Genomic DNA, 24782 nt, shown 5'->3' on the forward strand with positions numbered 1-24782 from the left:
TTGAATTTGAACTTCTGACCTCAGAACTGTGAGAGAATACATTTCTGATCATAAGCCACTCAGTTTGGGGTAATTTGTTATAGCTGAGAGACCTAGGAAATTAATGCAATGGTATCTATCTTTCCATTCTTTTATAGATTCTGCATTCCTATATTTCAATCGTGTCAGATAAAGAGAATAAACTGGGTATCTTTTTATCTAATTTAACACTCTTTCTTTGAGAGTCGCAAGTTCGGTTCATTTAAATCTATTTTTATTGCTGATATACTTTAAAATATTTCTATTGTCCCATTTTGTGTTTTCTATTTGTCCTACTCTTTTATGCTTTTCTCTTCCTTTCTTTTTGTCTTTTGATTGATTCTATTTTTTAACCTTTTAATTTCAAAATTTTGAAAGTTATTCATTCTATTCTTACTCCTTTAGGAATAAACTTTAATAAGCTAATATTCATATATAACTAAAAATTAATCAATATCTCTAAGAAATAAAAGCTCTACCTAAGAAATAAAATATCTCTAAGAAACAAAGGCTCTTAGAAAGCTTTACCTAAAATCACCTAGCTCACCAGATATTTTTACCACATTTCTAATACTAATTTCATTTTTTCACCTGCAAAAGTAAATATTAAATAGGCTCAACATTTTAGATGTACCCACACATTAACCCTTTGCTCATCAATCGTTGTTGAATCTCAGACACATTCTTTGTTTATTTCTTCTTCTTCCTAAAGTAAGTCCTTTAGAAGTTCCTTTCTGAGGATCTGTTTGTAATAAACCCTTAATACTTAGTTGTCCAAAAATATCTCATTTTACTCTCCTTCTTAAATGCAATTTTAGCCAAGTGTATTTTACCAATTAGATAATTATTTTCTTTCAGCATTTTGAAAATATTATTTTCCATCTTAGGGCCTCTACTGCTGATGTTGAGAAGTCTGCTCTTACACTCATTGAGTGCCGCCCAAAAGTGTGGCCTATGGAGTTGGTTAGCAATGTAGCTCTTAGACTTCACCCTAGATCAACTGAATCTGAATCTTAAAGTGGTAGGGCCCAGGAATCTACATGTTTGTTTACTTGCTTTCTGGATAGGTCATTAGAAGTTGAGAACCTTAGAGTATGTGCAGGCAACTTGCTTTTATCTCTTCCTTCAGATCTTGAAGACACTATGATGTGTGTAGATATAGATTTGTTTTATTTATCTTGCTTTGGGATTATTATTCTTCTTAAATCTGAGGATACATACTTTTCAGTAATTCTGGGAAGTCACCAGGCATTATTTCATCAAATATTGCCGTTCTCACATTTTCTCTGCCTTAATTCCAATAACATGAACTCAAAACATTTTCATTTTTCCTTTCCTGTGTTTTTAAATGTAGATCCCTGTACACTAAGGTCCCTAATGCTGTTTTTAATGGGAAGAAAAATTTTGAATAGGAATATCTGTAAGGGACTACACCTGCAGAAATTTAACTCAATTTAAGAATGTATCCAACAAATACTCAGTGACCCACACACATTACTAATCCCAGAAATGGGACAGAACTTCTTACAAAAATAGTACAACATTTTTACTGTTACTATAATGCTCTTAAGCCTTACTATAAGAGTATCACCAAAGATATGCTCTAACATGGAATGACTCAGACTCTTCAGTAATTTGTTAAGTAAAATTTCTTGGACAATGTTCAAGACAAGTTTATATTCTCTAGATTTTCAGATTGCAATGTGTTCTTCTACAGAAAGGTCCACATGTGTCATGTTTTCTGTCGATGTACAATGCTTTATTGTTTTTAAATCCTTGTCAGTGAAGAAATAGTCCACGCTGGAAAACAATCCAAAAATTTTCTCCTTGACTTTAAAGTGTATCCATAGACCCCCACAGAAAATCTGTTACCTGATATTTGGGGAACATTTCATCAAATTTGGTGATTCAATTATCTTCATAGAAAAGAATGTCAGAAGTTTTAGAATGCTGACAGAGTAGCTTCATGTGAGTCCCTCAGTGCCTCCTTTCCTGGAAAATATGAAATGGACAAAGGGCTTGAGTAGAAATAAAGTTAGACCCAGAACATAATGAGGGGAGGGGACATATTTCTTAACATGCTGATGGATGAATGGGAAATTTAAAACTTGAGTGTTGTAAAAGCTAATGCTTTTAAGGCTAATTATCTGTAATGATAATATGTCTGTGTGCTATGTAAATAAGAACTCAAAATAAGACACATCTGTCATAATGAAATGTGACACAGGGGAGATTAAACTAATGCCTTTCTTACAGTGAGTTTTTGGATAAACTTTTTCTCTGATTAATGAAATGTTCAATTGTTTGAAATGTTTGCACTGAGACTTGGATGGAAATAAGACCAGACTGTTGCAGAGATTTTTTTTTTATTATTATACTTTAAGTTCTAGGGTACATGTGCACAACGTGTGGGCTTATTACATAGGTGTACATGTACCATGCTGGCCCGCTGCACCCATCAACCCGTCATTTACATTAGGTGTTTCTCCCAGTGCTATCCCTCCCTGCAACCCCCGACCCATGACAGGCCCTGGTGTGTGATGTTCCTCACCCTGCAGAGATTTTTTATGGATGAGTTATGCAGATTCAACCTGATTAGTTCACTGATGCTTAGCAGAGGTTACAGATGCTCCATGGAGTCAGCCATTGCCATGATTTGCATAGAGGCACAAGATCATCTGGGAGCTGAAGACTGGTATCTGACAATCATGCACTGGTTTATTTACATCAAGAAGGCAATTTAGAAGAGATTCTTTTTTTTTTCCTCTCTCCCTCTCTCTCTCTCTTTCTCTCCATCTAAAAACCCTCAAAAAAAAGACAGAAACTATCTTGACCCAAGCCTTACCTTCGCATCACTCTCTTCTCTCTCCTGTAACTTCAACCTCTCCCTTTTTGCTCGCTCTTTTCTATTAGCCTATAACATGTACATGTCTCTGCCATCTTAAAAAAGTAATTAACAGAAAACAAAGAAAACCCTTTTCAAATTCTGCCTATCCATTTGGCGGCAAGTTTCTCAGTTTCTCACCCTCTTCCTTCACGTTCAACTCACTGAAAAAGTAGTGCCTTCCCACGGCTGTCTTCACTTTTATACTTTGTTTTCATTCTCCAACCTATTATAATCTGGCTTCTGCTCCAATTCAGCTCTGATATTCCTCATGCTAAGATCACTAACAGCTACATAGGGGCTTTACTTAAGCTTTTACCTAGTTTGACCTCTTTGGTGCACCTGACGCCATTGATAACTCCCTCTCTTCTTGAAGTTCTTTATTCCCTTGGTCTCTACACTCCATTTCTCCCGCTGCAACTCAGAATCAGTCTCTTCCTCTGTCACCTCTTGGTCTGTTCTCCCCTTAAACATTGGTGAGCCCCAGGCTTCCAGCATGAGGCAGCTGCGCTGCATGCCTTGCCTGGGCGATTTTATCCTTGATCACAGCTTCCCCTTATGGCTGAGAATTCAAAATCTATATCAGCTCTTTAAACTTTCTCCTCAGCTTTAGAACGGCACCTCCTACACCTCACATGGAAGTTCCAATGATACCTCAAACTCAATGTGACCAAAAAGGTTTTACTTCAAAGTAGAAAAGTTTTTCCTTCTGTGTCCTTTATCCTCTCAGTTTTTCCAAACAGTAATCAACGAATCAGCTTTGTCTCCTTCTCCCCAGTGACTGACCTTGATATCACTAAGTCCTGTAAATTTACAGGACTACCCTACCCCTACCATACGTGTCCCTTTCTCTCTATTTTCATTGTCACTGCTGCAGTTCATATGCTTATTGTCTCTTGCCTGATATTTATTTCCTAACTAGGCTCCCTGTCATATTTGCTCTCTGCCAGTTCATTTATCTTACTTCAGCCAGAGTGATCTGACTGAAGTTGCAAGTGTCAATCTGTCATTGAAACCTCTCCATATTGGGCATTTCATATGTACCTCCTCAGACTCTTTCAGCCTCCGTCTCCTAGGCCTCTGCCACTTGCTCTGTCTCAGCCATTAGCACTTCAAACATCTCCATGCACACCTGTAGAGATCTCCAAGCCAAGGCCTGGAGCTTCTGGCCCCTCTCCACTGCTTCCAGACTCAAACGAAGCCCCATGTCCAGACCCTCGGAGAAGCAAGTGCCAAGGTGAAATTGGACATGCAAGCCCGTGATGCAGATCTGCCCCTGATTGAAAGAGAAAGAGAAAAAGAAAGAAGGGAGGGTGAGTGCAAGCATCTTAGGCTGCGGTGCAATTCTAAGGGAAGTTTGGCAGGGTCATTGGAAAGTTCCCAAGCTAAAGTCTCCTGTCTCTTAGGAACAGACCTGCTTTAGTATCTCTGCTCTGTTCAGTCACTGAGAGCAGGCAGAAGGAAGCATGGTCTCTACGGTGTTGCATATTTTCAGATCATCAAGTCAGACTGTTAGCCAGACATGGCGGCAACCCACCAGATGACAGAACTGGCACACATAAAAGGGGGCTGGACCAGGTCCAAAATTATGAGTAAATTACCATTAACTGCTGATCAGACTGCATACGAACTACTTCTACTGCACCAGCGCCTCACCTTCAACCCATGGGTTTCTGCTGACCAACTCACAGAGGAAGAAAAGGCAAGCCTGGCTCACAGGTACAGAGTACTATGCTGGTGTGCTAAAAATTGACAGTTGTTGTATTATATCCTCAGTTGTAAGAGACCCTGAAAGATGTTCTGGTGAGATGACCCTGAATGGTCTCCTCATCTAGCCCATTGCTTGTGCAATGGGTCCATGAACAGAGTGGCCAAGATGGAAGGAATGAAGACCAGCCTGGGCCTAATAACCAGGGCTTCTTGGCATTATGGCCACTTAGCAGTGGCCAGTGTGCCAACTGAAGGGACTGAAGCTGTGCCCTCAACCCCACACCATTCTTTGAGGTATCTGCCAACTACCTACCTAGTGGCAAGTCAATTATATCAGGCCACTTACACACTGGAGCGGACAGTGAGCATTAATTCATTCTGAAATTGATACATACTCTGAATGTTGGATTGCCTTTCCTAGCTGCAGTGTCTCTATTAGCACCCCCGCCAAAGCACTTATAGAATGCTTTATCATTCAACATGTTTTCCACACAGTGTTCCCTTCAGCGGTGCAATTTTCTACAGCAAAGGTGCTGCAAAAATGGACTTCAGACCAGGAAACTCCCTAATAATACCATGTATGCCATCATCTGGAAACAGTCAGCCCATAAAATGATGAACAGCCTGTTGAAGGCTCAGCTGTGGGTCTGACGTCTTGCAGCGTCTGACACCTTTGTTGTCTTTGAGGAGTGACATATGGACTAAATCAACAGCTGATAATATAGTACTTTACCTCCAATACTAAGAATATTAGGTCCAGGAAGCGAGGGAAGTAGAAGTGACCCCACCTCACCATCAAACACAAGGGCCCATTTACAGCAATTGTGTTTCTCCTCCCTACAATCTAAGATCCTGCCCAATTAGAGGTCCTGGTTCTCAGGGAAAGAACACGTCTGCCAGTGTATCTAAGAGTTGCATTGAACTTGAACTTGTGACTACCACCTGTTCACTTTGGGCTTTCATGATAGTAGTTCAACTGGCAAGGAAATGATTTGCTGTTTTATTGAAATAATTAAGGAGTTGGTGTTACCACCACAGAATGGAGTCACAGAGGATGACGACTGAAACCACCTAGGGGAATCACCGGGTCTCTCTCAGTACTTCCATGCCCCCTGATAATGGTGAATGGAAAAATGCAGCAATCACAGCCTAAAATATACAGGACAAATAAAGCATCAGACCACTTGAAGTTCTGAATCACTGCACCAGGAAAGCAAATTAGACCACCTGAGAGTTGTCTAATGCAGGAAATACAGAATGGGTAATAGAGGAGAGAAGGTATAAATGCCAATTAGAGTCTCAGGACCAGTCCCAATGCAGAAATTGTAGCTTATTTCACTATCTTGCCTTAAGTATTTTAGGAAATCACAACTAGTAACTATCTTGAGGAGACTCTGTGACTGACTGACTGACTTGTACCTCCCCTCTTTGAGAAGCAATGAGACTGATGTGATCTTTACAAATTACATGAATGCATTAAATAATCACAAGTACCCCAAAACTATGTACTCTACTATACATCAGTTTAAAATATATGGTAGGCTCTTTTTTTATTTATTTATTTATTTAGATGGACTCTGGCTCTGTTGCCCAGGCTGGAGTGCAGTGGCAGTATCTCTGCTCACTGTGACCTCCTCCTCCCGGGTTCAAGTGATTGTTCTGCCTCAGCCTCCTGAGTAGCTGGGATTACAGGCACACACTACCACACTCAGCTAATTTTTGGATTTTTAGTAGAAATGGGGTTTCACCATGTTGACCAGGCTGGTCTCGACCACCTGACCTCAAGGGATTTGCCCATCTCAGCCTCCCAAAGTGCTGGGATTACAGGTGGGAGCCACCACACCCAGCCAAAAAAATATAGTAGACTCTTTTACAATACTTTGCAACAGAATAGAGAATAATCTTTTGAATGACACAGGTCTTTTTGGCTATTTGTGGCAATGTATGCTGAATATTTGCTTAGTATAAAGGCATTATATATATTTATTATACAATACATCATGCTCCAAATGTGCTGTCTTTGTCTGTGATGACAAGTGTTTGGAAGATGTTTTCAAATATAGAAACACCCTTAATCACTTCCTTCAGGGTAAAGCCACCATTTTAATAATGAATGAGAAAATAACTGCTTGTTGGAAGAATCAAACTATGGGGAGAATATTTTGAAAAATGGATGTGTGGAATTATTTCCATCATTGTATGATCATACAACTGAAAATAATGTATGCCACCTGTAACAACTCTCCTATATGATTGCTTCTTAAAAGTTGAAAATAAATGTTTCAAACCAGTTTTTAAATCTTCCACATATGGAATTTCAGTGAGTCTGGACCCATCTGTAAAAATATATCAAATGCTGGTCCTTTTGATGACTTTGTACAAACAACTGATGGATATCAGGGAAGATGGACACCAACCAGATATTCTGCTAGAACCTGGAGATTTTTCTTAACATCTATCCTGTTCTTCTCAAGCTTTCCTAATTCTGTCCTAATTCTGTCTTCTCTGTAGAAAAGACAGCAATATAATGGACAGTCTATACTCTGCTCTTATAAGCTCAAGTAATTTTAGTACAAATTCCAAGGACAGAAATAAAGAGATTAGTCTAAGTTTAAACTCTGCTACTAATTAGCCATGTGCCAAGCAAGTCATTCTGGTGAGAGGGGGTTCAAGTTCTGTCACTAAACAATCATGACATTGTATGACTTCACAGCAGCTGCCAAATTTGCAAATGCAAGATGGGACTGCTGCCAACTGATAAGCCCACTTCAGAGAAGGCAGCAGGAAAACCCATGCCACCTTTCCAAAGAACGCAAAAGGAGCTACATTCATATGACCCTCCCTTGACATTTGGGGGTAGAAGAGAAGGAGGGTCTGTCCCTGTGTGTCACACCACTCAGGAGTGATGGTCAGGCTCAAGGAAGTGTCTTTGGATTTGCTGAGCCACAATCCAAAGCCTAATTATGATGCATTACAATAATCAAACTCTTTTTTGCCTGTTTGGTTTTCTTCCCCAAGTCTCTATGTTTAGGATCTTATTTGAATTGAAATCTTTGGAATTAAATGTTATAGACAGTGATACATACAATATGGGATAGTTCTTGTAAAATATAATGAACTGTAAAACCTTGTCATGATTTCAGCTTAAAATATTATTCTATGCCAGGGCAAATGTCAAAGACAATCATCTCCTTTTATTAAGCATTACCTAGAAGATGGATAATATTTAATATGTGTGATGACAAATCTACAAAGAAAAAGAAACACCAAAAGACTGTTCTCAGACTCTGTGATGTTCCACTGTTTAAACACACAGATATCTGTGATATCACAATGTTTAAACAAAATAAAATACCATTTCATATGTAAAGCAAGAATGCTAATCTCCAGATATAGAAGTTATAGGAATTCTTCCTTAAAAAAAAGAAGGTATTCCAAAAGTAAATTCTTATATTAATATTAATTCATTTACTTTTAAAAAGTCAATGTCAGCAGCTGTGCTTGCTAAGATACAAAATTTAAAACCACAGCGAGGAGATAAAATGTAATGGGAATGAATGGGAAAACCCTTGTTTGCCAATATTTTAAAGTCTCCTCTCTAGAAAGTAACTTCCTGGAGGCAGAACTATATTGCTTTTACTCATTTTTGCATCCCCAGAACTTTTCAACCACGCCTGGGACATAATAGTTATTTTATAAGTACTTGTTCAATGGATAAATAAATGAATGAAGTTAGGCAGCCATTAAATTTATTTCAAAGGGGAATTACCAAAAGCAGGCCACACAATTGTTTAGTGACAGAGATAAACTCGCTTTCAATGGAATGATTTGCTTGGCATATGGCTAGTTAGTAGCAGAGTTTAAGTTTATACTAATCTCTTCATTTCTGTCCTCTGGAATTTGTACTAAAATTACCTGGGCTGGCTGGGTGCCGTGACTCATGCCTGCAATCTCAGTACTTTGGGAGGCCAAGGTGGGTGGATCACTTGAGGTCAGGAGTTCAAGACCAGCCTGGCCAACATGGCAAAACCCTGTCTCTACTAAAAATAAAAATTAAAAAATTAGCTGGGCCTGGTGGTACACACCTGTAATCCCACCTACTTGGGAGGCTGAGGCATGAGAATCGCTTGAAACTGGGAAGCAGAGGTTGCAGTGAGCCAAGATCACACCACTGCATTCCAGCCTGGGCAACAGAGCGAGGTTATCTCAAAACAAAAACAAACAAACAAAATTACCTGAGCGTACAAGAGCAGAGATTGTCCTTATACTGCTGTGATGAGCTCTTCTCTAGCTACCTTCCAACAGCTGCAATAGGAAATAGGAAAGCCAAGGTTGAACACCTCAAGCTTCTTAAGCCCACCAGGAAGAAAAGAAGAGGGCAAAGCTTAAATGGAAGAGGGAGCAGATATTGGAAGAGGAAGGAAGAGGAGGAGAGGGGTCCAAGATCATTCTAATGTGACGAGAGGATTGGACACAAGTTTCACAATTTGCTTCATTTCCTTTGAATTAATGTTCTCTGGGACCCTTCTCAGTACTAACTTTCAATACCAAAGAACTAAATAAAATCCTAAATGTCAAAAAAAACCTAATTGTTTTCTACAGACAATGTCTATCATATGATTGAGCCTAAAGGAGATGCACAGCTTAAACACCAAGCTGAAAATAACATCCCATATGAATTAGGTGTTTTTCTTTTTCCCAACTACATACTTCTTGACTAACAGATATAGTACATTCCACATCTTACTGAAAAGACTAGATGATTTTTACTTTACTGGAAAAAAATTAAACGAAAGTTTCAATTTTTATTCAAAGGCATGTGAGGGGGGAAGGAAACCAATTGTAAAACACAGATAATATTTAAACCTTAAAGAAAATTGGAATATTTTATTTGTTTTTCAATAAATTATAAAAAGAGATGATTTAATGAGAAAGCAGTTGTTAGTACACATGGTAGAAAAGCAATACGCTCTTTAGCTTTAGTAGAGCTAATGATGTAATTGTCATCAGCAGATTACCCAAACCCAGAGCTGTAGGATTTCCTAGTTCAGTCATGAAAATAAGCAGGGTTCAGGCATCAGGGAAGAATGTAGGAGCATTGCCCTTTTATGTCATGGTTTTTTTATTCTTCATAGTAATTTTTATGGGCTGGGGGAGGTGGAAAGGCTGTAAGTTGTTGACACAAAAGCCAAACTCTGTAAAATATTTAGAGAGATCTATTCTGAGCCAAATGTGAGCACCATGACCCATGACACAGCCTCAGGAGGTCCTGAAAATATGTGCCCCCAAGGTGGTTGGCTTACAGCTTGGTTTTATGTATTTTAGGGAGACATAAGGCATCCGTCAATACATGTAAGATATAGATTGGTTTGGTCCAGAAAGGCAAGACAACTCGCAGTGGGGGCTTCCAGGTCATAGGTGGTTTCAAAGTTTTTCTAATTAGCAATTGGTTGAACAAGTTAAGTTATTGTCTAAAGACCTGTAATCAATAGAAAGAAGTGTCTGGGTTAAGATAAGGGGCTGTGGAGACCAAAGGTCTTATTATGTAGATGAAATCTGATAGGTGGCCACCCTTAGAGGCAATAGATGACAAATGTTTCCTATTCAGACCCTTAAAAGGTATTAGACTGCCAGCTAATCTCTTCAGGATCAGAAAAAGACCTATAGAGAAAAATGGATTCTCTACAGAATGTAAGTTTTCCCCACAAGAGACAGCTTTGCAGGGCCATTTCAAAATATGACAAAGGATTATATTTGGGACAAAATACTTTGATTTCTTTCAGAGCCTGCTATCTGTCCTGTGATGCTCTACTAGAGTCAGATTGGAATTTGGTATCTATTTGGTATCTTATTGCTACAAAGAGTCTGTTTGTCAGTCTTAAGATCTTTTTTTTTTTTTTTTTTTTTTTTGAGACAGAGTCTCGCTCTGTTGCCCAGGCTGGAGTGCAGTGGCACTATCTCGGCTCACTGCAACCTCTGCCTTCTAGGTTCAAGTGATTCTCCCGCCTCAGTCTCCTGAGTAGCTAGGATTACAGGCACGCGCCACCACACCCCGCTAATTTTTTGTATTTTTAGTAGAAACGGGGTTTCACCATGATGGCCAGGCTGATCTCGAACTCCTGACCTCAAGTGATCCACCCGCCTTAGCCTCCCAAAGTGCTGGTATAACAGGTGTGAGCCACTGTGCCCTGCCAAGATCTCTATTTTTATGTTAATGCTGGTCAGTTGTGCCTGAATTCCAAAGGGAGGAGGGCATAGTGAGGCAAGTCCACCTCCTCTTCCTGTCATGTCTTGAACTAGATTTTCAGGTTTCTTTGGAATCTCCTTGGCCATAGTGAAGCAGCTTTGTTGTCTGGGGTAAATACCAGGGGTTCATAGCTTCACGACAAGAAAATTTAGGGCACAGACACACACACAAGGGATTTAGGAGCAGAGGTTTAATAGGCAGAAGAAAGAGAAGGAAAACAGCTCTCTCTCTAGTGAGAGACAGGGTTCCCAGAGGAAAAGGCCACCAGCCAAGGAGTTCACCAGATTTTATAGGCAGGCTTGAGGAGGCAGTGTCTGATTTACATAGGGCCCACAGATTGGTTCAATCAGGTGTGACATTTACATAGCACATGGGAAAGACTGGCCACTCCACCCTAATCTTATTATGCAAATGGACTTCCCCCAGCCAGTGCCACCTTGTCTGCTCCTTATTATACACGTGGCTGACAAAGAAAAGGGAAGATGGAGCCGCCATTTTGAACATGATTGGCACAACTGCCAGCATCTATGTCTGCAGCTCGATTTTACAGGCTGCTCTTAGTTAAAAAGGAAAATGTTTTTGGGCTGCTTTTCATTAAAAGGAAAACCTTACCGAGGACTTCCATAGCGTCACTATCTGCCTAAGTAATTTCTTTTTAACTCCCATATCAATAGGAGGGGTTCATTCAGTTGGTTGGAGGGCTTAGAATTTATTTTTGGTACAAAGTGAAAATGAGAGTTACTTCCAGGGAAATGGCTTGTTGCACGCTCAATAGAAAATCCAGTGCCCCTCTCTCAAAATCTATGCAATAATGTTTATTGGTGTTTTCTCCACCTGGGGTAGATGGCTCTTAACTCTCTCTCTGTTTTTTGGAGACGGAGTCTTACTCTATCACCCAGGCTGGAGTGCAGTGGTGTGATCTTGACTCACTGCAACCTCCACCTCCTGAGTTCAAGCAATTCTCCTGCCTTAGTCTCCCGCCTGAGTAGCTGGGACTACAGTGTGCACCACCACACCTGGCTAATTTTTGTAGTTTTAGTAGAGATGGGGTTTCACCATGTTGGCCAGGCTGGTATCGAACTCCTGACCTCCAGTGATCTGCCTGCGTCAGCCTCCCAAAGTGCTGGGATTACAGGAGTGATCTTACTCTCTTTTTACAGCAAAGACTATTACACTGTCCAATCATTTCCAAGTTATATCCCTTGAGAATTACAAAGAATGTTAATAGATGCTACTAGAAAAACAAAACTTGTTATTAAAAAGCTTGAGAGTCTTAAAGAAAAATGTAAAACACTTTAGGATATTTCAGGGTTATGACACGAAATCCTGATTTGGGTTTATAATCTGGCTGCTGCCTGAATCTGTAGCCTGTCCCTGAATTCCTCCCATTTAAACTTCCAGAACCCATCAGCTCTCAGCACCTTCAAGTTGGCGCCTCCCTGCACACTGGCCTGGCTGCTGTCACTCTGCCAAGTCCCACCCAGGTTCTGCATGTCTGTGCTTCCACCATAGCTCAGTTCTCCTGACTCTTCACTTCTGTCCCTCACATGCCTCACGCTACTACTATAGAAATGTTTGTTGAAGAAATGGATGAATGAATGAAGCCTTTCACCTAACAGAAGGATGGGGATGAGGAAGGCAGGGTCTTAATATCAATGGAATATTAAAGAAAAACTCTTAACTATGCTCTTCAGCTCTTGGTTTTTCATGTGATACATTATGCATCCTGATTAAATCACTAAGGAACAGGCCAAAACCCTACCTGCTTATGGTAAAGAGAAAATTTTACTTTTATTTTTAACTCTATTAGACATGTAAATATCCTACAGCATAAAATCTATACAAATATATTCTTCCTCCCACCTGTGACTCGTTCTTCTATGAATCAACTTTTCTATTACTACTAGATTCTCTTTCTTGACACATGAGCACTCTAATTAATGAGAAGCTGATTTTTTTTCAGTACCACAGAAATTTTTTTTAAGGGTAAGGGGAAAAATCTATTCCAACAAAATGTCAGCCCATGGTAGAGTGGAAGGTGTATGCCTACGAAGCAGGACATACAAGTCCAAATGGGTATTCTGCATTCAGGATTTAGGAACTGGAAAATTGCTCTATGCAAATGAACCCATATCACCAATAATCTGTGTCTCCATGCCTACATGAAACTTCCAAATCCTCACAGGCTCCGTCACTTCACTTTATCCTGTACTGCAATCCCACAGGGCTGCCATCACCAGTACTGAACTGCTAATGAATTTTTCCTGCCCCTCTGCTCAAGTACAGCTGAAAGATTGTGTGCTGAAACTTCTAATTAGTAAGAGGCAATAAACAAGGACTGCAATAATTGTCTGAAATCACACACCAGGAGGTCTGCTTTTCACTTGCTCATCCAATCGTTTTTGTGTCCCCCTTGAGTTTAATATAATCCCAACTTCAAAGTTAAGACATGTCCTAACTTACTATTTATATGAATTATGTTCATGAGAATCAGGGCTGTATGTATGCACGGAGAAGGTAACCATCTATCTTGTATGACCACCTATATGTTGTGCTTTCCTTCTCAAAAAGATTACCACTCTCATCTAACCTGAAAAATTGAGAAATAGAATCTAAGATAAGACTTGTCTTCCTGGAAAGTTCTATTGGGTTTGGCCTTGTGCAATGTAAAGCATTCATATTAAAATTACATTGACATAACTCCCCTATGTATACACTGAGTCACACTTGCATGAAGGTGCTAGGTACCTAAACAGTCGAATTATTTTGTAAAAAGAAGACCGTGCCCCACTCAAAACTTCATAATTTGGTTAGTGATAGAACTGCTTTGAATAATACAGCCATAAAACTTAGCCTTGAAATTATCTTGACTTTATGAAGTTGCAATCAATAAATACTAAAGAAATGTCTAAAGGCATCTATATTCACTTCTTGTGGCTGCTGTAACAAATTTCCACAAACTTGGTGGCTAAAAACAACACAAATTTATTCTCTCACCATTCTGGAGGCCAGAGGTCTGAAATCAAAATATTGGTAGGGCCATGCTCCCTCTGCAGGCTCTTAGGGAAGAATTCTCGCTTGCCTCCTCTAGCTTCTAGTGGCAGTTGGCATTCCTTGGCTCATGGCTGCATTCCTCCAATCTCTGCCTCCATCTTCACATCATTATCTCCTCCTGTGTCAGTCTTTAATCTCCCTCTGCCTCTCTTTTACTAAGATACATGTGATTGCATTTAGGGCCCAACTGGTTAATCCAGGATAACCTCCTCATCTTCAGATCCTTAAATTAATCACACCTACAAAGACCCTTTCTCCAAATAAGGTAACATTCACAGGTTCTGGAGATTAGCACATGAATATTTTGGGGAGAAGGGAACATTTTTCAGCCTACTGTAATATCTGAGTGTTTCCTTAAGAATCATGAGTGATGTTTTCAGTGAGGAATACTTTGGTTTGCCTCAGGTTTGGCAATATAGAAAGAGAGGATTAGGGTTTAATCAATGCATACAAGGCAAATATTATTCCTAATTCAATATTCAGTTCAGTATCTAGTATGGAGATATGGTGTCTGACAAACCAGTCCCAAGCACTGTCTTTATGTTCAAAGCAAAATCAAACCCAATTTGCTTCTTTCAGTGCAGTTTGTCTGCATTATCCCAGGATCAGGAATTGCTCACTTTATTACCCTGGGGCCATGTTTCTAAGACACAATCAACATTTTTCACACATTCAATTCCAATTAATTCTACCTATTTTGCAGAAGAATATTTGATATAATATTAAGAAAATATAGAGTTGTTTTTCACAAAACCTGTCACATAATCACCCCCAAATTTGCTCCAGTTTACCTTCAGTGCCATATTATTATGTTTCCTGTGTGTGCCATGATATTTTTTTAAAAGATTGAGTAGCCCTGATACAGAGAAATAAGTAGGCTAAAAACAGGTCCTTATGGAATATCTACCTTGCAAGAGAGGGGTTGATGAAGAAGAGAGCAAGAGCAGCTATCCGGCATTTGGGAAACAGACTCCTCCTCATAAGGTAGAAAATTCCCTGAATTACATTTACAGCTGGGCTGCCAAAACAGATGACAGCTGTCCACAATAGATCAATAATGTCAAATGCCACTGAGAGATGAAGTAAAGGATGAAAAACATCCACTGAATTTGGTAATTAGGAAGCACTACAGACCAAGTATGGTGGCACATGTCTATAAACCCAGCACTTTGAGAGGCCAGAGCAAGAGGATTGCTTGAGCCCAGGAGTTCAAGACCAGCCTGGGCAACATAGGGAGATCCTAGCTCTACAATAAATTTTTTTTAATTAGCTGGACATGGTGATGCATGCCTGTGGTCCCAGGTACTCAGGAGGCTGAAGTGGAAGGATCACTTGAGTCCAGGAGGTCAGGAATGTAGTGAGTCATGATTACAACACTACACTCCAGCCTGGGAAATGGAGAGACTCTGACAAAAAAAAAAAAAAAAAACAGCCAGCAACCAGCAAGATCAGTACCAGTGGACTGACAGGAAAAGGCCACAAAGCAGGGAGCTGAGGCATGCATGGGGGGAGGGGAGGTGTACACAGAAAGAAGATTCTTTCATTAAGAAGAAAGAAGATTCTGTTCTTTCAGAAGATTATTGTTGACAGGGATGAGAGGAAATAATGGAAGGTGGAGGGAGGCTTTTGTGAGGTGTCAGACTTGTGTTTCTACCTTGAAGGTAAATAGTAAGCCCAGAAGGAGAGTTTAAAGGTACAGATATTGCTAATGGCAGACAAAGGCATACACTAAATAAAGTTTTTAAAGAACCTAGAAGGAGTGAGATTGTTCTTAGGGAAAAGGATTGGTCTTGGACAGATGTCCACTGGCTAAAGAGAAAGCAGTAAGGATGTGACAAATAATTTTACCAATCAGAATTCAAGAAGTTGAATGTGGCTCTGCCTGGGATACCTTTCTTTGTTTCCCAGGAATATAAACTGAGGAATATTAGAAATGAGAAAAGGTTATCGGATTTGGCAATTGGAAGGTCATTTGTGATCTTTGCAAGGGCAGGTTTAATGCTTCCTTCAGCCAACAAATATTTATAATCCTGGTGAATGGAGCACTAGACAGGACCTTGTTACAGGACCAACAGGTTCATATGCCTCCTGCACAGTAACAGACCAATATACCAAGACAGCAGGATTTGCAGCAGAGAAAGAGATTAATGATTGAAGGGCAGCTGAATGAGGAGATGCGAGGAGACCTCCCCCCCACAATCATCTCCTGAGGAGTTCTGGGTTGGAGTTTTTAAGGAGATTGTAGGGGACAAGAGGCCGAAAAAAATTGAGTCATTGATCGGTCAGGGTAAGAGGGATGAAATCCTCAGGATGTGGAAACTACATTCTTTACTCAGTCAGTTTCTTACTTCAGACCAGTCTCCTTCAGACCAGCTGATGTCGGTAGTTTCACTGGTATGCAGGACCTGAAAGGATATCTCAAAGGGAAAACTTAAGATTTTATGATGTTCAAGTTACATAGAGTCTTGTAACAGGATCTACTGATTCTGGGGCAATAAGTAAACAACTATAAGGAAGCAGATCAGAGAGCAAGCTCACCTAATGATTAATGCTGAATGCTTGCAGCTTGATTTATTTTCATTTCTGCCTCTCCCTTCTTCCTTGATTAATTTTATAATTTATAGGGATGGTTTCAACCTCCCAAGACAGGAGACTTGGAGTCCAGATTTAACTCTTTACCAAATTAGCTCTTCATAATGAAGGCACCATTTGGGACACTTATTCCCCCAAAATGAAGAAGTTGGATGAAACGACAGCTAAGGTAGTGTCCAACATTTACATTGTGTATCTGTTCTAATACTATGTTGAAGGCACAAGGCTGGTCATGGTATGAAATTTAAAGATCCAATGAGAGGCAGGGATTTGGACTTTCAAGGACATCAGAGTCTCTAAAAACAAATAATTCCTAATAAAAAGTCATCCTGCAGTGTTCCTTCCTGAGTCAAGGTCTGCTGTCAGGGAGAAAGCATTGAAATTTCTATTTCAAAAGAAAAAAATGTGACCAATTTCTAACATGATTTAAAAAAATTCCTTAGTGCCGACCGGGCACGGTGGCTCACGCCTGTAATCCCAGCACTTTGGGAGGCCAAGGTGGGTGGATCACGAGGTCAGGAGATCGAGACCATCCTGGCTAATACGGTGAAACCCGGTCTCTACTAAAAATACAAAAAATTAGCCGGGCATGGTGGCAGGCGCCTGTAGTCCCAGCTACCACGGAGGCTGAGGCAGGAGAATGGCATGAACCCGGGAGGCAGAGCTTGCAGTGAGCTGAGATCGCACCATTGCACTCCAGCCTGGGCGACAGAGCGAGACTCCGTCTCAAAATAATAATAATAATAATAATAATAATAATAATAATAATAATAATAATAATTCCTCAGTGCCAAACAGCCTGAAAATGTCAAGACCTTTCACTACCTGATAAAGTTAGTTCTCAATATGAGAAATGTGAGAAAAGAATGAGCCATAAATTTAGGGGTTTTACCCAGTGGGCAAATTGGGTATTAATTTGACTATATTGCTTGGGCCCCTCAGGATGTTTAGCACAATGCACTAGATGGAAAGTTGTGATTGCACATTATATATTTTGAGACAAAATAACTTCTGCCAATTCTTGAGCTAAAGGAACAGAAAATATAAGCACACATAATGGAGACTGTAGAAATTTGATATTAAAAGATGTATTATGTTGTCTGATACATCTTCCTGTCAACATGTTCATTATAATGTGTTCTTTTATTCTGTCCTATTCAGAATTTCTAGTTGTCTGTACATTGATTTTACACCTCCCACCACAAAGCTCAGAAACATTGACAAGCATCCTCATATACTCTAAAACGATGCAGTATGAGGAGGAGGACATTTCTATTGCTTTGATCTTCATAAAAATGCTCACATGGTTAATTTGTTCAGCTCCAAGTCTTTAGTATCTTGTCACTCCTTTTGAATACTCCAAAAGATGCTTAGATCTGATTAGACTGAAAGTGCTCCTAAAACAACAGGGGTTTGTTAGAATATGGATTATTCCAGAGGTGTGTCAATGCCATTCCAATCCATTGTTTTCAAAACCAAACCACCCACCATCAGTAACTAGTTGTCCACTGTGGTAAATTTGTAGGTAGCCGCTTGTTTCCTTTCCTCCTAAAAGCCCCTGCTTCTCCTCTAAAACTCTGAGCTGCCCTCTAAGAGGATGGAGTCACTTCCTTCTTTCACTTCCCACATGAGATTGTGTTGTAGGAGAGGCAATTGGGCAGCCAATGAACTGTGGGATTTAGGGTTCAGGAGACTGGCTGCAAGTCCTTCTCTTTCCATTTATTGCTGTGTAATGTTTAGCTATCGCCTCATCAGAAGCCAAATGTATTCCTCTGTAAAAGTTAATAAAACCTGAGTGATCAATGTGTGATGTTGGGTTGCTGTGAAGAAGGAAAAGAAATAGTCGACAGAAGAGCACTTTGCAAACCACTCTATGACCTACGACTTGTTGTGAGAGAGAAGATGAAGCTGAGCAACCTCAGTGCTGTCCTCTCAAAACATGCAAAACTTTTCCTCTGACCCAGTTCCTCACCTGCCATGGAGCTGTCACCACTGCTGCTCTGCTGGGTCTGTGAAAGAGCACAGGTGCATGGAGGCAGGTGCCAGCCCCATTACCTGCAAGCCTGTCCTGACATTCCGGTATCTCCAGACGAGGCTTGCTGGCACTTGGGCTAGCTTGCTGGGGTAGTTTCAAGTGACTATTCTGGAGCCTTATTTTTCAGAATTACCAAAATTGCAACAGTGGTAATTTTAAGCATATTTTGATCCTGTATATAACAAAGCAGATACTATTTAACAAGGAATCATTGGATGATTCCTGTTCGACAAAAGAAATAATCAAGTCAAACAAAAATATGACATTTTACTATCTCCCTAAATGATCAAAGGACTCCTACTTTTGTCTAATGTACTTATTAAATCAGTGCACACTTCCATCCCATTATGGGACCTGATATGATGCCAATCCCAGTTTAAGAGTAGAGGAGTAGTACAGAGTATGTTCTGGAATTTTTTTCTCCCTAAAGATCACGCTGTTACCCCTATTTGAGAGAACTTCAAAAAGTTCATGGAAAAATTAGATTAAAACATGAAAGAAAAATATACAAATTGTATTTTTCAACATAAGCTCCATCAAGTTCAAAATGCTTTTGTAATTAATGATACCAGCCATTTAGTTCAACCATAAAGAATCAAGGGGCCTGGGGATTTAACCATGTCAATGAAGTCTTTTTTTATATATTAACTGAATAAATGGATGCCCCTCACAGGTTTTTTAAGGTTTGGAAAGAAAAAATCAGAAGAAGCCAAATCGGGACTGTAAGGTGGATGCCTACTGATTTTCCATCAAAACTCTAGCAAAAGTGTCCTTGTTTGATGAGAGGAATGAGCAGGACATTGTCATGGTGGAGAAGGATTCTGTGGTAAAGCTTTTCCAGGCATTTTTCTGCTAAAGCTTTGGCTTTCTCAAAACACTCTTATCATAGGCACATGTTACCATTTTTTGGCCCTCCAGAAAGTCAACAAACAAAATGCCTTGAGCATCTCAAAAAACTGTTGCCATGACCTCTGCTGTTGATGGATTGATGCACTTTTGCTTTAACTGAACCACTTCCATCTTTTGGTAGCCATGGCTCTGACTGTGCTTTGTCTTGAGGATTACACTGGTGAAGCCATGTTCCATTTCCTCTTACAATTCTTTGGAAAAAAAAAAAGTGCTTCAGGATCATGATCTCACTTGTTGAAAATTTTCATTGAAAGCTCTACCCTTGTCTGCAGCTGATCTGGATACATCAGTTTTGGCACCCATCGAGTGGAAAGTTTGCTCAACTTTAAATTTTCAGGCAAAATGTTGTAAGCTGAATCAATTGAGATGTCTATAGTGTTGACTATTTTTTGTGCTATTAATCCTGAGTCCTTTTCAGTTAGAGCACAAATGAGATGAATTTTTTCCTCACACATTGATGTAAATGGCCTGCCGCTGTGGGTTTCATCTTCAACATCATCTCACCCCTTCTTTTTTATTTATTTATTTATTTGTTTGTTTTTATTATACTTTAAGTTTCGGGATACATGTGCAGAATGTGCAGGTTTGTTACACAGGTATACACATGCCATGGTGGTGTGCTGCACCCATCAACCCATCACCTATATTAGGTATTTCTCCTAATGCTATCCCTCCCCTAGTCCCCAACCCCCCGACAGGCTCCGGTGTGTGGTGTTCCCCTCCCTATGTCCATGTGTTCTCATTGTTCAACTCCCACTTATGAGTGAGAACATGCAGTGTTTGGTTTTCTGTTCCTGTGTTAGTTTGCTGAGAATGATGGTTTCCAACCTCATCCATGTCCCTGCAAAGGACATGAATTTATCCTTTTTTGAGACAGAGTTGCCCTCTTGTAGCCCAGGCTCAAGTGCAATGGCGCGACCTCCACTCACTGCAACCTCCGCCTCCTGGGTTCAAGCGATTCTCCTGCCTCAGCCTCCCAAGTAGCTAGGATTACTGGCTTCCATCACCATGCTCAGCTAATTTTTATATTTTTAGTAGAGACAGAGTTTCACCATGTTGGCCAGGATGGTTTCAAGCTCCTGACCTCAGGTGATCCACCCTCCTCAGCCTCCCAAAGTGCTGAGATTACAGGTATGAGATACCGCGCCCAGCCATCTCACCCCTTCTTAAAGTGAGTTATCCATTTTTATCTTTTGAGGCATTGTCCCATAAACTTTTCATAAAGCATCAATGATTTCACCATTCTTCCACCCAAGCTTTACCATAAATTTGATGCTTGTTCTTAAATTTTAGCAGAATTCATGTTGCTCTGATAGAGGATCTTTTCAAACTGATGTCTTATCCTTCTTAGTGCCTTAAACTAGATCCTGCTCAGATATGTCATAACAAATTGGTATAAGTTTGTTTTGGTGCAAAAAAATTTTGAAATCCATGCATAGTTTTTTCACAATATGCAATATTCATGAATCTTTGAAGACCCCTTGTAAAACCAAATAAGCTTCAATTGAAACCCCTGAATTAAGTTTTCAAATATTCTGGGATTACATAGTTATCCTTTTAAGTCAAATGATGATTCCAATAATAGATATACATTTTTCATGTTATCCAAGATTGGCTCTGATTGTATATCTATCACTGGAGTAAAAAAGCTGAATTAACGTAACTTCAAAAAACGGTATCCAGGATCACCAAAGTGAATTGCGCTGCTATAAATATGTCAAATATGTGCAACCTCTAAAGAAGGTATTATCATCTCAGAAAGCAACGTTTTAAAAAATGTATTCTATTAATATTTTCTTATAAATAAAATGACATCATTTGATGACACTACATTACAATAGTCCATTTTTATTGAAAGTATTTTGACTCAATTTCATTTTCACTGTATGACTCAAAATAAATGGTATTCAATAGAGTTGTCACATTTATTATGTCATTTGTTTGTCAGATTACTGTCCCTTATTAGAGATGAGAAATCAGGCTTATAGCACAGTGCTGATGCAAACTGGATATGTATAACTGAATGAATCAATGAATCAATCACAATTTTAAGGGATTGCTCACGCTTGAATTGCTAGAAGGACCTGACTTGAACCTATCACTTTGGTCCACTGTTCCCTTTCACAGCATCACACTCCCTCCTCTTCTCTTAGTAACACAAGAGAAGTTTAAGCTAATTGTCACATCTAATATAAATTTATAAGTAATCACACCTCCTCTCATGCACATGTGGAAATGTTAGTTCCAGATTCCAAGGAAATGTACTGAAATGATGTTCATTAGGATTAATTCCTAGAAATTCTCTTGTCTCTCTCTCTGTCTCCCTTGGGTCTTCTCCAGCAAAGGTTTAAATTTTACATTTCAAAACAGACTGTTCCATTGTTTCATTCCTGGAACCTACTCCTTGTTGAGAATCTCAACAAATCACATGTAGCTGTGCAGCTGTGGGCCTGGAATGAGTAGGGGGGAATGTAATTTGGCAAAAATTGCTTCAGAGATCTATGAGATATGTCATACAGATTGTGTGTCCTTTCCTCAGTAAGATCTAATGTAGGAGGAAAAATACAGCAATCAGAATAAAGAAGCTTCATTCTCCTTACCACAGAGGAAATTTTTATCAAAGATCTGAAGGTTCCAAATGAGCACACTGCTTAATCAAGCTATTTCTAGACCTCAGACTTTAATATTATAATGCTGGACAGAGAGAGGATAGAGTACAAAGCATGCTGAGAAATAGAATGGCCACTCAAGAGGCCCAGAAAGTTCACGTTTTAGCCCTTTTCATAAAATTTTATGTATAATGGCATAGCAAGCTCTAGGCAAACACCGAAGTGGAAATATAGCCTTATTCCCCATTACATTTCTTTCACAAAATGATGGCCCACTTTCTCCTGCACAAAGATGAGAAGAAGCCCAATAGCATTGCATTATCTGTTGAGATTTCACCCTGAAGAACTTAAGTTTAAGCATATCCCATTGATTGCCTGGCATTAAAAAGCAGATATAATTTTACCCTTTGAAAGGAAAGACAATCAACAACCCAGCTGTGCATATTCATTTACGAAATCAATAGGATGCTGAGATCAGTTCTCAAGCTTCTATTTCACACATTTGTAGACTCAGGTGAGGGTCAGGCCAAGTCCCAAAACGTTTAGCTGTATCACCTGGGAATGAAGGATTCCTCGTGAGAGTGAGGGGCAGGAAACATCATGGGTCAAATTAATAAAATGGTTAAAAGAAACCACTTGGGTGATGAATTGTTTTGGTTTTTATACTTTCTGGCTAAATGAAGATTTAGCAGAAAAGCATCTGTTTAAATACTTGTTGTTTTACACATTTCTACACTGTTTTAGTCGTTTTCCTACGTTAATGAGTATGGCATATTAAAGCTACTCTGTGACAAGTTTGCATGGTTTACAGGAAGAATAGGGTGATAGTATCCGTGTGAGTATTTTACAGGCAGTTATGGGAGTACAGACTAGAAGCAGAGGATGCCTTCAAACTCAAAGGCTCTAAGGTATGGGAAGAAGGAGAAAGGGAGCGACCTTTTCATGGCCATAAAGTCTTTAAGTGATCTGATAAAACACGAATCCTATTCCTGCCAAATCATATACCCAGATAAAGTTTTGGCATACAATTCTACCTGGGTCATGTATTCTTAACTCTTGAAGTTCCTTTAATCACCAATTGTATAAAAACTAATTTATTTGCTTGTTTTCCCATTTCTCCAAAGGTGGCATACAGAAAACAAATCTTCCTATCTATGTTTCTAATTAATAAGTCATTACTTTTAGCCTTATATTTACCTAGATTTTTTTTGTAAAGTGCTTGTACAAATATGATTTTAAATTCCTGCAATACCCTATGATGCAGATGGGGAAAGCAGTGTTATGTACACTTCATAGGTCAGGCAGTGGGATAACGCGGAGTTAAGCTGCAGAGATAAGACTAAAAGTCTTGCCTTCTGCCTTAGCACTCTTTTCACCAGGTCAGCTATCAAACTGCCCTCTGAGAACCCCGTTGGGGGTCCATGAAGATGAGGCAATAGTATTTGTACTTCACCCAAAATAGTCATCTGTTTCTTGGTTTTTTGACATGGTTGGGTTTCTATTTAATTTTGTGTTTAAAGAAAGGACCAAATTTCTTTGGTCATATTAAATATTTATTACTGCATTTATTTTTTTCTTATTGTACATAGTATTTATTATTTCCTGTATAATATATAAGTATTATAATGTAAACAAATATCTACAAGCATCTGGGCTAATATCAAACCTATGATCTAAAAAAAACTACATAAAGTTTCATCATAGAAACCCAGATTAAAGGAAACTAGGCCCCTTCCTAGGTAAGATTCCTGAACTTAGTAGGAATGAACAAGCTATGATGAAACAAATCCAAGGCTTCAGGGTAGATCCTGGTCTCTGGGGATAGTGAATGCTGAAGTAATTAAGAGCAAGAGCTCGGCTTTTCCTCTTTGACTTAGCCTGCTGTTCAGTTTTGTTCAGCGGCCGTCTTCTATCTGTTTGGTCAGCTGGAGCCGACCAAAACATGCAGTTGTTGCACAGAAGACAGCAACAAAGTAAAACTGAACAGCCTGCTATGTAAAAGAGGAAAAGCACAGGAAACACTTAGGTTGGAGTTGGGGGCACAGGGCAGTAAAGAGATCGGTGTAGAGAATCGATAAGAAGGAAAAGAAGAGACGAAGAAATAATAGAGAAATATATAAGTAAAACATTATGGCTTTTATGATTTCTTGTTTATAAGAGTGGGAAGAAGGAGAAAGAAAGAGAAACAGTGATTTCTAGGTCTTAAGTCCTATGGTCTGAGCATTTGCCAACAAATGAGACAAGGGATGTAGGGGAGAAGTGAGCTTGTGGGGGAACATGATAAATGTAGTTCAGGATATACTTAGCTTGAGGGGCTGTGAAACATCCCTGGAGAGATGGCGACCTGGCAGTAGAGCGAGTGAGTCTGATGTCCACAGGAAAGCTCTATTTGAGTTAAAGATACTCGTGAGTCACCATGGTCTCTTTCTCATCAGTGTCCACGTGTATATTAGAACCATGGGAGCAGCCAGAGATGGTGTGGTGTGAGAAGAGAGGAAGGTGTCGGGTGGAATTCTGAGGAATACCAAGGGAAGGCCATGTATTAGTCTGTTTTCACATTGCTATAAAGAATACCCGAGACTGGATTATTTATGAAGGAAAGAAGTTTAATTGGCTCACATTTCTACATGGCTGCAGAGGCCTCAGGAAACTTACAATCATGGCAGAAGGGGAAGCAGGCAAATTTTACATGGTGGCAGGCGAGAGAGAGAGCATATGAAGGAG

General features: G+C 39.6%; 1 long non-coding RNA gene across 4 annotated transcripts in view, besides 2 other annotated features; it reads right to left on the bottom strand.

The window, feature by feature from the left end:
* LOC102723490 (uncharacterized) overlaps positions 1 to 24782 on the bottom strand; it is a 113878-nt gene that overhangs the window by 75865 nt on the left and 13231 nt on the right. For all 4 annotated transcript variants that reach the window (XR_001749825.2, XR_007063757.1, XR_001749824.2 and 1 more), the window contains exons 2-3: positions 3947 to 4178; positions 1891 to 2010 (exon numbers count right to left, since the gene is read on the bottom strand). This is a non-coding gene — a long non-coding RNA (uncharacterized LOC102723490). The remainder of the gene's footprint in view (positions 1 to 1890; positions 2011 to 3946; positions 4179 to 24782) is intronic.
* Positions 10508 to 11013: an enhancer, noted in NCBI's record as "OCT4-NANOG-H3K27ac hESC enhancer chr13:37335854-37336359 (GRCh37/hg19 assembly coordinates)". NCBI's record gives its function as "activates a minimal SCP1, AML or CMV promoter by ChIP-STARR-seq in primed H9 embryonic stem cells {active_cell/tissue: H9 hESC(primed)}" and the evidence as "EXISTENCE:reporter gene assay evidence [ECO:0000049][PMID:30033119]".
* Positions 11014 to 11518: an enhancer, noted in NCBI's record as "OCT4-NANOG-H3K27ac hESC enhancer chr13:37336360-37336864 (GRCh37/hg19 assembly coordinates)". NCBI's record gives its function as "activates a minimal SCP1, AML or CMV promoter by ChIP-STARR-seq in primed H9 embryonic stem cells {active_cell/tissue: H9 hESC(primed)}" and the evidence as "EXISTENCE:reporter gene assay evidence [ECO:0000049][PMID:30033119]".

This window comes from Homo sapiens, chromosome 13 (genome assembly GCF_000001405.40).
Source record: "Homo sapiens chromosome 13, GRCh38.p14 Primary Assembly".
NCBI lineage: Eukaryota > Metazoa > Chordata > Mammalia > Primates > Hominidae > Homo > Homo sapiens.